Genomic DNA, 14,357 nt, shown 5'->3' with positions numbered 1-14,357 from the left:
GCATTCTCTGGCCCTGTGATTTCATAAACGTTGAGTCAACCTTACAAGACACACAATAGCTGGCTGATAAAAAGCATTATTTCAGTTACTTGAAAGTGAAAGAGGGCCAAGACTAGTAACCCCAATGATAGATTCTGTGTTCCTGTCTTAGTCTGTTTTCTTCTGCTATAACAGAATACCTGAGACTGGGTGATTTATAAGGAACAGAGATTTATTTCTTACAATTTTAGAGGCTGGGAAGTCTAAGATCAAGAGGTCCACATCCGATGAGGGCAATCATCCTGCATCATCCTATGGCAGAAGGCAGAAGGACAAGAGAGTGAGAGAGACCAAAACAGCCAAACTTATCTTTTTATAAGGCACCTTCTCCCTCCATGACAAATCCACTCCCATGAACATGTCATTATTCCACTTATGAGGGCAGAACTCTCATGTCTTAATCACCTCTGAAAGGTTCCACCTTTTAATACTGTTACAATAGCAATTAAATTTCAATGTGAGGGTTTTTTGTTGTTGTTTTTTCTTCTTGTTGTTGTTGTTATTGTTGTTTTGAGATGGAGTTTCGCTCTTGTTGCCCAGGCTGGAGTGCAATGGAGCGATCTCGGCTCACAGTATCTCTGCTTTCCTGGTTCAAGTGAATCTCTGCCTCAACCTCCCCAGTAGCTGGGATTACAGGCATGTGCCACCATGCCCAGGTAATTTTGTATTTTTAGTAGAGATGGGGTTTCTCCATGTTGGTCAGGCTGGTCTCAAACTCCTGACCTCAGGTAATCCGCCCACCTTGGCCTCTCAGAGTGCTGGGATTACAAGCATGAGTCACCGCACCCGGCCTCAATATGAGTTTTGAGGGGACAAACATTCAAACTATATCATTTCCCTGAGTCACAAAAAAATCAACTGACACTATATAGACCTACAATAATTTATGTATACAAAATAAGAAATACCTATTTAAAAAATAAATGTTAGTGGTACTAGTACAACTAATGAAAATAAATGGGAACCATAGAGATTTTGTCACATAATAGAAATCTTTTTGATCTATGGTGTATCATAATGAGACCATCCATCAAATCAGTTTGGCCACTGATTCTCTTATTGCTAATATGAGCTCCACTGTAAATTAATTTAACACTCGCTTCAATTGTAGTACTATTCAGAGTACTGAACTTGACTTCACCTAAAAGAACTGCCCCCTCCAGTCCCCATAATGTGTCTAATCGGTCTGTTAATGTAGGCGCCTCAGACTTTTAGTTTCAGCCAATTACTTATAAGAAAGTTGGTGCACTGCCTCACTTAAGACTGAATAATAGTGCCGGGGCAGATAATTTAAATCTAAAGCTTCTTAAGCCAGCTGCTTCATTAAGAGGTAAGCCAGTAACTGATATTTTTAATTTAACACTCTTTTCTGGAGATCCTCCATCAATCGGGATGTGTGCCAGAGTAATACCCTCATAAAGAAAGAAGTAAAACAGGCCTGAAACAGTGTAGTGAGGAAATAAAAGAAATTGATCTAGGGTTATTTTTCACAATCCAAATGATTCACTTGGTAGTCACCCAATAGTAAAGCTAAATTCGAATGCTTTGAATGAGGAGGGATTAAGAGATTGTAAAAAGGGATATGAGGGCTATGGAAATTCAACTCAGCAGCAAAAATAAGGGGAAAATGGCCAAGAATAAGGCATTCTCAAAAGGTATGAAGGATAAAGAGAAGTCAGAAGATATTTCTATATATGAGTTTATTATTTGTTTTTTAGATGACTCAACATATTAAAATATATTGAAGTGCATTATTATGCTACGAGTTCAGCATAGAGCTGGACACTATAGCTGATCCAGATGGAGATAAAACTCAGGAAAGGGAAGCAATTAATTAATGCAAGATGGGATGCATTCATGTGCTCAGATAGATGCATGTAAACAGAATAAGTATAATTATAGATCAGAGAAGAGAGAGCATAGTGTTGGTAGGTCTTAAAAAATTTTGCTTACATAATGGCTAAAAGACTTTTCATCACATTTCATTGGTTGCATAGAATACAATTTCTGCTATATTATAAGAAATAGCATTTATTAAATAAAATAGCTAGATTATTTTGTAAAATGTATTAAAAAGAATCTAAATACCAGTAATCTGATTGCAAAAAAATCCATTTTAAAGAGTACATAAGCAAGCTTTTCTCTGAGTCAGAAATTGTGTATTATTTCCTTAACTCCTTGAATTTGTATTTCCATTTTGATTACCATACAAAATTATATAAAAAGGAATATATTTTATGCATGTCTTTTCTGTCACAAAAATATGAATATAAATTGAAATTATTCTTTTATTAATTTTCCTGGACTCTAACAGTTATTAATATTATATAACCAAATAATATTTTGGTTATTATATATAAAAAGTAAATTTTATTAAAAATAATTTTTAGTGAAATAGGATTGTCATTTTCAATTAGTATATGTATTATAAAAGAATACAACTTATTGATAAATGTTAGTGGAATCTTTGATAATTGTATTCCTATCTGTTGTTTGTTTTCTTTAAAAAATGTATGTTTTTAGAAAAATTGTTCCTATAAATAAGTAGATGTGGATAGGAGTTTAGTTTTGGCAACACCTTTCACTTTTTCAACATTTTCTGAGGTACATGTCAAAAATTACATTGTGATCTATTATTCTTTGTAATAATCAATCTTCTGACAACCCAATTAGATCTTTGTTCAATTTTGTTGAATGCGATGAATGATTCAATAAATGCTTGCTATTCAGTCATTAGAGTCTTCTACTTTCTCTGCTTCAGGAAAAAGTTTATTAACATTTATCAAAAAGTCATTCATTACACCTGTTCCTCTTCCACTTACAGTCACCTTGTTTGACCTGATAAATACAAAGTTAAACAACAACAACAAAACACTTTAAAAATGATTTTATGATGTCACATGCTTTACAATTTCATCAAAAAGCTTGGAGCTACAGAATTAGTTCATTCAATTTTTGGATAATGCTCACTGTGTGACCCAATTGATATGAATTAGAGCTGATATCCATTTTCAATTCAATCAGCCAAGTCAGCTTTAACTTCAGCATAACAATCTGACTTCATCTTTCAATCCAAATAAATCTGTTAATATGTGTGCCTATTACGAGACTCTAACTTCTGAATTCTACAAGTTGACAGGTAAAAAGATTATATATAATACATAGAAAAGGCATGAAACTTTGCAGTAAATTTGTTATTTGACAAAATAAACCACTGCAGTATTTCATTCCAATGCTTGCTTTGTTCATTTTCACTGATCTCTTGCTGAAGACTATTGCATTCTTCAACAAAAATCAGCAGATGTAATAGGCAAGGTTGTTTAAAGGAAATTTCCACTATTCCCAGTATTCTACACTAAAATAAATTGGAATGAAGATACCCAAACACATTTCAAAGTATTCCAATTCTAATTCTATATTTTTCATTAACAGACATACATATAAGACAGAAACATAATATAATAGTTCATGCCTCTATATATAATTTCATGGATATTTTATGATTCTTGATAATCCATATCCATAAAGGGAGGTAATAGTGGAAGAATACCAAAATGCCATAAATATGTCACTTTCAGAATATATAATTTAATCATTAGAATGACTATAATACTAATGATTTACATATTAAGAGTTATCATAATCTGTAAAGTACTTTCCTGTCAGTGTCAGTCAGGGTCCAGTCAAGAAATAGGAACTACTCTTGGTCTTCTACAAAGAAAGGATTTAATATAGGGTATTGAGTATTTACCTAATGGGAAATGAAGCCATATATGAAATGCTAAAACAACTTAGAGATGAGCAAAAGTTGGGAACTACTACCCCTAGAGCTAGAGAGACAACAGGAGGAACTGGTAATACCAGAACCCAGAAAAGGAACCATCTAGCAGGAATTTAAATCCACTGGAGACTGCCCTGCCCAGCAACAAGGCCATACAGGAAATGGCTGATGGGTGGAAGCTGGAGCCGTGGAGGAGCCACAGCAAGACGTACTCCCTCAAGAGAGAGAAAGGAGGAAAAATACGAAGCCTTTTCTTAACTCTTGTCTGAATTTTCTAAAGCTGCTTCCAAGTGGCTGAAATGTAGATGTCAGAAAGCAAGAAAACATGGAATCTGCAGTTTCCTGCAATACAGAGGAGCAAGTAAAGGATGCAGAATGAATTAGAAAGAAACAGGTAATTGGCATACACAGCATTCATTATTTCATTTGATTATCACAACTTCATGAGATCATCAATGCTCTACAAGGATTCTTTTGATTGTGCTCTTTAACAACAACAACAACAACAACAAAAAGACAAGACCACTGGAGTTTAGAGAGGTCAAGCTGCCAAGAAGAGTTGGATCTAACCCTCAAACTCAGATCTGTTACTCTAGAGATCTTTCAAGAACAACACAGAACTTAATATACTACCTTGGTCTTTCGGATTTTGGCATATGTGGGGAAATACGCCTTTGTATCTGTGGGTTTAAGATAGGGAAAGTTGACGAACAAAGTGGGCCTAACTGTGTTAAGTTTCACAATTAATTGTATTAAGATTATTCATGGTGCCTACAAATCAATGACATAACTATAGCATCAGTAATTAAAAGTATGATAAACACTTATAGTGTTAAAGAATCTCTGATCATGACCATTATTTGTCTTCTCAGCAAAGAAAGCAAAAGCCAGCTTCACTAATGACTTAATGCTGCCCCAGCATTGTAACTAGGCCATAGCTACAAAAGCATATTATCATGGGGATTTTAAAAAATAATATAAGGGCGGTTTACTATGGAGATAGAGTGAGGACAGTTTCTTTTACAGCCTCTGCTGTAGCTCTTCTCTCTGTAGGATAATATGACAGTTTAGAAGAGAAGAAATAATACCAATCATAAGAATTCTTAAATAGGAGCCTATGTGCACTTGAAATTGAACGTTGTGTGTGTGTGTGTGCCTGCGCACATGCACACATGCTCACAGTGTATCTGTTGTGGCTGTGTTTTAATCATAATCTTTAATAGAGATTGCATTATTAGGGTGCATAGCAAAGAGTCTATATTGGATAACTCTTTTGCTTTTGCCATACTTTCATTCTAACCTGAATTTGGAAATTTTAAATTTTCCTACAGAGAAGAAAAAAAGGAAATGGCAGACACTAGTTAGCCATTCCCTCCAAATTCTGGCTTATCAGGCTACAGACCCTAGCCAATTTTATACTACATAAAACGATTCTCAGGTCTGGATTCCCCACAGTTGTTAAAGGCAGGTATCCATGTGATTCAAAATCTTGCCAAGCAGAGCCTTCTATACCAAGGGAAACAGGGAGCAATATCACTGGCATTCAGAATCATTGTCTGAAACACATTCAGTGCTGTCTACTGTTAACACTCAGGGGCTGATACTCAGGGAATGGTGAGTTTGTGGAGAGAGTAAGACAAACATTTCCACAATTAATTATGATCCTTTTCAAAGGGCTTTGGGAACAGAACCCATTGTCAGAAGAGCCTGAGTTCCCACAGAAGGCAATCAATTCAACATTTTCCCAATGGCATATGGGACAATGCACCATTTTTACAATCTGGGGAAATGACTTTTAGCATCCCTTATGAGTCTGAAACCTGTGAGAGTGAAGACAATTGTGAGACATGCCTAGCCAATTTCTTGCAAAGTCATCTGAGAATGATTGGTAGTGTCATTGTCAACGATAATGGCATCTATCCGAAGAACAGAAGGAAGCAAAATTATGAAACTCTTGTTTTCCTTTTTAATTAGCAGTATTACTTGGGGCTACATGATTTTTTTCATTTGCCATGAATGATATCATGTTTTGTGGGCTATTGTAAGTTTGCAGCCAGATTTCATTAAATGAGAAGAGTGAATGTTTTCAGTTAAATTTATTCCTCATGGATCAAACCAGATTCTTGTTGGTATTAGTTTTCTATTGCTGCAAGTAAATTATTATAAACTGTAGTGGCACAAAACAACATAATTTTTTTATTTTATAGTTTCTATAGCCCAGGCTAGGTCCTCTGTTGAGGGTCTCATCGTTCAAATTCAAAGATCGTGATCTCATCTGGTCCTCTTCCAAACTCACAGGTTGTCAGTGGACTTCATTTCTGAGGCCCCTATTCCTTGCCAGCTGTGTGCAAAGGACCACTCTCCTCAGGTTCTTGCCACCTCCTCTCACAGTATGGCCATCTGCTTTCTTCTGCGTCAGCAGGAGAGAATCTCTAGGACACTTCACCTAACTTTAAAGGGCTTACCTGTACAGGCCAAACCCATCCAAGTTAATCTTCTTGATTCACTCAAAATCAACTGATAAATAACCTAATCATGAAAATAGTATTGGTCCTACTCACATTCAAGGGGAGAAAGTTATAGAGGGTGTGTACATCAAGAGGTAGCTATTTGGAGCTATCTTAGAACTTGACCTGCCACAATTTTCATGAATTTGTTTTGCAGATGTTACTTATGAGATATATGCTACTTATAAGAATAATTATAAATGTATCAGAAGACCAGATATTTCAAATGAAATTATTGTTTCTAGAGAATATTTCATAGTTACCTATAAATTATGACTACTTAGATTATGTTTGAGATGATTATAAAAATCATAATGACATCTGATTAATTTATTCAGAAACATAATTGACCTATACATCATGCACATTCTGGATTAAACAAAATATTTGTAAGGTTGAATGCAAGATCCTAGCTATATATTTCCATTTTTTCCATGATCTTAGAAATCTTATATTCCTTTTTATCATTTTTAACATATGCAATCTTGAATACAAGCATCACTTCTATTACTGTGAGCATATAAGTGGTCAACACTTGGTATTGTCTGGTGAAAGCATGTTTATCTAGAGCAAATGTTAAATGTGTACATAGTTTTAAGTTCAAAGAGTAAGGACAAAACCAGAAGTTTGACTCAGAGGTTAAGTCCTTAATCAAAGTGTGATGCATGCTGCATTAACACAGGGCCAGATTTGGTCTGAATGCATAAAGCTTTTGTTCTCTCATTTACAAATGTTTGCAACAGGCTAAAGAGCAAAAATGGTAATTTACTATGATCTAAAATAACTGTTTTGCATTTCAGTGTCTTTTATGGTATAGTGTGGCATACTCAAAAAGTATTTATCAAAAAGAACAATATTTTTAAATAATAAGACTTATAGAATTAAAACATAGTGATGCCCTTCCTGTAGCTTAGAGACTATACTGCTCTCGCCATTGTGGTAGATTCTAAACCAGTAATGTATGAAATATAAGCTTTACTTTTTTATCGCATCTTCTTAGGAAAAGCAAGAGAGAGGTGATTTTAACTATATTTGTTCTTAAAGAAAGAAAGAAAATGCAGTCAATTTGCTGTTTTCAAGTAGCCAAGAGAAATTAGTTAGCATTTTTAAGAGGCAAATAGTGGTCTTAAAAGGAAATTCAGATATATGAAAATAATTCTGAACTGCCAAGTAATTTATTTGAGTAGTATGGAATGGTGGGTGTTTCTGTGTGTGTTTTACGGAATAATTTAAGCTCTATTCTGGTTTAATGTACAGTGCCTGCTCACGGAGACTGATGAAAGAAGTTTTATATAAAAGTTTGCTACTGTGATTATTGCTAAAATGCTACATGGTTGCTCTAAGTTAATGATATTTAAACATTTTCCTCAGTAATTGTACTTCTCAATTGAAAGGAAGATACATTTTAGGAGTGTACTTTTTTTACTCCTTTAAACTAAGTGCTCCTTATAATACAAAACAGCACTCAGTGATCCATGCAGGCTTCCATTTATAATATTAATAGAAGACATGTTCCATGTTAATCCATCTCATTAATATTAAAGAAAGAACTCCAAGACTGGTGAGCACTTAATCATTTGCAATTAGCACCTAACTGTTAATTCTATGGAGGGCTCTTAAGGAGACAAGCAGAAGAAGTAGCTCCCGTTTGTTAAATGTTAGTTGATTTAACTTACAGTATTTAATTCTGGGAAAACTCAGTAATTAGAACAATTCATGTAGCTAGACAAGTTTAATTGATCAGTTAAAAATAAAAGAGTCCCCAACTGAGAGCAACCACAAGATATACATTTTGGAAATGGCCATGACATAGCCATTTTGCTAATTTATTTTATTAAGTTCTGTGTGCTTCTAGGCCAATGTATTTGGCATCTGAGCAGAGGTGAATAAACTTCCAGCCCAGGCCACCTCAATACAGATCCTAAAATCCAATTAACAGAATGGGCAGGTTGTCTGGTTTGGCTCCAACTAGAGCAGATTGTTTCCTCAATGTCAACTCAACCTGAAAAAAAGAACGCCTGTGAGCTTCCTACTTTAGGACTAAAAAGAGCTCCAAGGCCCAGAATAAGAGCTCTATGCCAATTACTTAGAGCAAAACCAAGTTCCACACTGTGGTGCGGCCCCTCTACTTTCCTTCTACGTTGATTCTGTCATGAAATGGCCTCTCTCCCTCAGCTCTGAAATCTGCCTCTTCTATAGGAGCAGATTCTATTATCAGGGATTTTTGTTGAAAACTTGTTGGAAGAATCAAAGGCTTTGGAAGAATCTGTTACAGAGCACTGGAGGGGAATTGACCACAGGGTAGACATGCTTTTAAAAAAGAGATCTGTATCTGTTTCCACCATCTTATTGACCCAGTTCTGAAAGCTACTTCCAGCACCATTTTTTTCTTTTTAATCAAAGAAAACCTGAGGTTGGTAGGATCCTTAAAAGGCAGCAGGACTCCGTGAAATGAGCAGAAGACAGACCTGTCCATCTCTTCTGTTAATGTCATTTACTCAATTAGTAATGATGAAATGCCCCCAGGATATACCACACCAAATGTTGACTGTGGCAAACTTTAACACCAATTCCACTGCCAAGTCTAGCAAATTAACCAGATTTAACTAAGCACAATTCTGACAGTTTCTAATTACTGGGAGAATGAAGACATGTTTGAATCTGTCTCTCCTTATTTAAAATTTTCAGTAACTTTCATCCTGCTATCTCACCATCTTCTCCATAGATTTTTCTCATTTCGTAATACGTTGTTATCTGTCCGGTGCTCTTCTTCCTTTCTATATGCTTTGTTGTTGTTGTGACTGTCCTTCCTAGTCTTAAACTTGCCATTCCCCAGAAGCTTGACTCTGCTTCTATTCACATTTGATAACAAGGCCATCTGTTACCTTTGCCAAATGTTAGGCTCTTATTTTACAGCAGCTCTCCAGATGTGTGTGGGCACTGCAGCTGCACAGCCATTACAGATGGCATGGAGAAATCTGCTTTTAGCCTTCTGCTCTACAATATACCCTAATCCTCACCAGCTGTATTGAAGTGCTTTAGCCTTTAAGGATTTGGATGAAAGAACATGGGTAAAGCAACAAAAGTCGTCACCATCAGATACACACCAGCCATAAGGCTCCCTCATGGCCATGGCACAGGATCCACCAGAAGCAGCACTCCAGATGAGTCTTGTTGAAGAATGATGTGCATGTAAAGAACTATATGCATACAAAGAAGCTGATATCTAGTTGGTACCTAAAAACAGATTCTGTATTTGATAAATTTCAGGTACCAGGTTTTGAGTTTCCAGATTCTCTTGGAGACACACTTTGGTAGTCCATTTATTCCAAGGACAGATTTGAAGAATCCTGGTGAGATTTCATGCTTAAGAACAATATATACAGGAGGGTAAGATATACAGAGACTAACAGATCATGGATTCAGTTTTGGTTCTGCTGCCCACTTGCAAGTTTGCTTGGGTAAGGTACTAAACTTATTTGAAGCAGTTTCCTCATCTGGAAAATTAGGTTAATAATACCGGCACATTATAAGAGTTCTGTGAGGGTTGCCTGACACCCTGCATTTAGCATGTGCCTGACCTATCATAAACTCTCAGCAAATGACCATTACCAAAATTACTATTATTTTAGATAAACATTTAGATAGGTGTTTTCTGTCACTCCTTTCCTTAATATTTATCAAACCTAAAAATCTTCTTTCAATTATTATTTGAAAAGTAAAGATGGAGAATAGTTGGGCTTCAAAAAAAACCCCTAATAGCTGCATGCAACATAAAAGAAAAATGATGTCAATCAAAAAAATAAGTATGGATAAGTGTCATTAAGCTGGAAGGTAGGACTTGTCTTGTAATTAGTCCTCATCATGAAGTCCATAACTAAACCTCAGCATATGTGTATTTGCTCAGGTTTTGATGTTTATGGTCTACTGTCCCTCAGAAAGTTCACTAGCCTATAAATCTGTTATGGCATATAAATAGAAAAATTAATAAAATTAAGATTTTTTAACTTTTTCTAACACTTTATATTTAATAAAGTTAGGCAAGGAAGAAAGGACACGGAAATCGAAGTTTAAATTCTAGTTAATTGTCATTAGCTGTGAGACATTAAGCAAATTATGTAACTTTTCCAGGCCTCAGTTACTCTATCTACAAGATGGGAAAATAATGTCTGATTTTACAATGGTTATTAAAAAAATAAATGCTTCTCTTAAAATGCCTATCTAGTTGTTTGGAACATAGTAGCATTCTTGAAAGAATAAGCATTATTACCATAATTAATCTTCATAATGACTGTGTTAGTTTTTGTTATTGTGTAACAAATCACCATATAAACTTAGCAGCCTAAAATAACACCTACAGTTCTGTAGGTCAGAAGTCCAGGCATGCAGTGGCTAGGTTCTCTGCTCAGAGTTTTATAAGACTAGAACATAGGTGTCAGATGGGCTCTGTCCTCATCTGGCACTCAGGATCTTCCCAGCCCATATAGTTGTGGCAGAATTTAATCCTTTGTGGCTGCAGGACTGATGTCTTCATTTTCTTTCTGGCTGTCAGTCTGGAATTACTCAGGTCCCACATGACCTCCTCCCTTTTCAAAGCCAGCAATGAAGACCCTCCTTTGCATTGAATTTCCCTATTTAAAAATAATAATAGTCTGGAGCACAGAGGCACAATCATGGCTCACTGTAGCCTTGACCTCCTTGGCTCATTCCATTCACCACCTCAGCTTTCTGAGTAGCTGAGACTACAGGCATGTGCCACCACTCTCAGCTAATTTTTGTATTTTTTTCTAGAGACAGGGTTTTGCCATTTTGCCCAGGCTGGTCTCAAACTTCTGGACCTCCCTACATGCTGGGATTACAGGTGTGAACACTGAGCCCAGCCTGAATTCCTCCTTTACTAGGAAAATGCCCCATCCTTTTTACAGGCTCACATGTTTAGATTTGGCCCATGAAGGATAATTTCCTTTTCTTAGTCAAATAGTTTAGGACCTTAATTATATCTGCAAAAATCCCTTATAGCAGCACACAGATTAGTGCTTGATTGAATAACTGAGAGAAGGTTTGTGTATGCCAGGCAGGTGGGACTCTTGAGGGATATTGTATTAGATCATTTTCACACTGCTATAAAGACATATCCAAGACTGGGTAATTTATAAAGAAAAGAGGTTTAATTGACTCACAGTTCTGCATTGCTGGGGAGGCCTCAGGAAACTTATAATCATGGCAGAAGGAGAAGAGGCACCTCTCACATGGCAGTAGGTGAGAGAGAGTGAGTGTGTGAAGCAGGAACTGTCAGACACTTATAAAACCATCAGATCTCATGAGAACTCATGCACTATCATGAAAACAGCATGGAGAACACTGCTCCATGATCCAATCACCTCCCAGGAGGTCTCTCCCTCGGTGTGTGAGGATTATAAGGATTACAGTTCAAGATGAGATTTATGTGGGGACACAAAGCCTAACCATATCAGACATCTTAGAATTCTGCCTACCTCAGTAATCTTGAGAGACAAATATCTGTTATTTTTACCTTTGAGGAAACTAAAATTTCAAAGGTTTAGTTGACTTGCCAGAGGACATCCAACTGAGAAATGTTTCTTACTAGGAATGTCCCCAGGATATATTTGGCAATGTTTGGAGACATTTTTGGTTGTCACACTTGGGGAGAAGCTGGAAAACTAGCTGGCTCAGGTTAAACGTCTATTAGCATGTAAGAAGAAGAGAACAGACATGAGACCAGTGGCAGTCTCTGCCAAAGATGACGTTCATTTATGCCAGGCAACTCACTGAGAATGCAGCAAGATTGTAGTGGAAACCATCTTTTCCAGCTTCTACACCCACAAATATCTACCAATAAGAAGCTTTCACTTTGGTCTAGCATTTCTCAAGTTTAGCAATACTGGGCCAGAACATTCTACATCATGTGGGACTGCCCTGTTTACAACAGGATGTTTAGCACTGTCCATGGCCTCTATCTGCTAGATGTCAATAGGACTATCACCACCCTGCTCCCCAAGTTATAGCAAACAAATATTTCTCCTGGGGAGGAGCTAAGTTGCCCTCGGTTGAGAACCACTGCTTTAAAGGGAAGCAGCAAGGCAGCGCTCTACTCTCCTCCCTTTTCCATAAGCTTGAAGGCAGGAATGCTAGCTACAGCCAGAGCATCCAGTGTGGACCACACTTGGAAAACCAAATGCTGAGGATGCTAGAGCCAAACCTCAAGGGAGCCTAGTCCCTGACACATGGCCTGCACTGCAAACACCTGAATTGGTACAAGAGATGAAAGTTACCTTCTACCTTATTTAAGACACCATATTCCAGGTGTCTTTGTTTACTGCAGGTGTATTTCTATCCTACCTAATACAAACTTCCTAGGAAAGTCACTTTTGCAGGGCAGGTAGGGGTTAACGCATATTGCCTGTTACCTTAAAATCTTGTAGCTTCATTTCCTTTTTGTGATCAGCACATTATCCTGACCATATAGCCTGTCCCCAAAGAGGCAATTCTTACAATGAGAAGCTGCACTTGATTCTTCAGTAAATACATACTTTGTTTGACTGTGTGCTAACAACCCAAATGGAGGTTTCTGTTGTAAACATTTGTTTCAGAAGCAAACACATCCAAATTGAAATGTTTCTTTTCATTGTTGCAGCAAAATATCCATTTGCTTTCAGGCCATTAGGGACTGCTGAATGCTTTTGTAAACGTTTCCACAGGCTGCTGGCCACTCCAGGCCCATTTCTCTCCCATTGCTCAAGAATATCCTAATGGTCAGGAACTCCTGAGAGACTTACCCAGGAGTTCAGTGGTTTCCTGATGGAGGTGAGCTCCAAAATGATCCTGCAGTTGAGGCAGTTAAGACTGAATTTTTGTGTTTGTGTGTCAGAACAACTTGTTGTCCCAGTAAATATATTATTCTTTTTTGGATATATTAAGTAGAAATAAGATGTTGTATTGATGTTTTCAAGCCTATCATCAATAGTTTACTAAATATTATAGTGACCTTAAGAAATTACCTTCATATGACATGTTGGAGATACTTTTTCTGCTGTAACAATATATTTTTTCAATTTTTCTTTTTAGTAGTACTTCTTGAGTAAAGATGACAACATAGCAGATAAAATGAGTTTGGGTACATTTGCATGTATTGACATCTGGTGTTGGCTGTGAGCATGCCCCCAGAACTTGTCTGAATGTCTTCCCTTTCATATCCATCTACCAAAATGCTACCCATCCTCCAAGGCTCCATTTCCCTTCCTTCTTAAATAACTGTAAGTCTCAAAGATCCTGCCAGTTACACAACTCACTAATGAGGAAAGTGACCCAAGTGTGTGTGTGCTTTTGAAAAATATATATTTTAAAAATACACATTTAAAAATGTATACATAAGGGAAAACCTTATGATTATTAAACATATCCTAGTGCCTTGGGAGCACCTGATTGAACAAAGGATTGCTATAACAGTCAAAAGCAACCATTTATGTATATGCTGAATAACTATCACTGAAGCATCTTAGCTGAATTGTCTGCCCACTAGTGGATGGTGGCACACTGGCCAAATCAGAGGTTCTTTTTGTAAAGAATCAATATAATAAGACAAGTCATTCAAGCTCAGGTTATGCGCTGAATAAACTTGGTGAACATTCTTTCCCTGAAAGCACTGGGAACCCTTCAAGTGAAGACATTGCTGAAAGGAATGTGTTCTTTCCTATCCCATATCACAGCACAGTCTTGAAATAAGTTGCCAGAAAACCCCTATGATCAAGAGAGCATCTTTCTTCCTTGAAAATGTATACAAATTAGTATATGGATATGCATTATGATATTCATCTTAATCTACCTTCCATCAAAGTTAGATAAAAATCAGGAATTTAGAAAATTCAGAAATAATAGCTAGGAGATTTCTTCACCACTTAATCTATGTAGTACCTTGTATTCATTTGATCATTTGAATCTCACAGCTCTAGGAGAGAGACAGATTATAGCCATTTAACGGATGAGATATACAAAGTGTGAAAAGTACATGC

The sequence above is a fragment of the Homo sapiens genome, chromosome 1 (genome assembly GCF_000001405.40).
Source record: "Homo sapiens chromosome 1, GRCh38.p14 Primary Assembly".
Classification (NCBI taxonomy): Eukaryota; Metazoa; Chordata; class Mammalia; order Primates; family Hominidae; genus Homo; species Homo sapiens.
Note: the sequence above shows the minus strand (reverse complement) of the source record.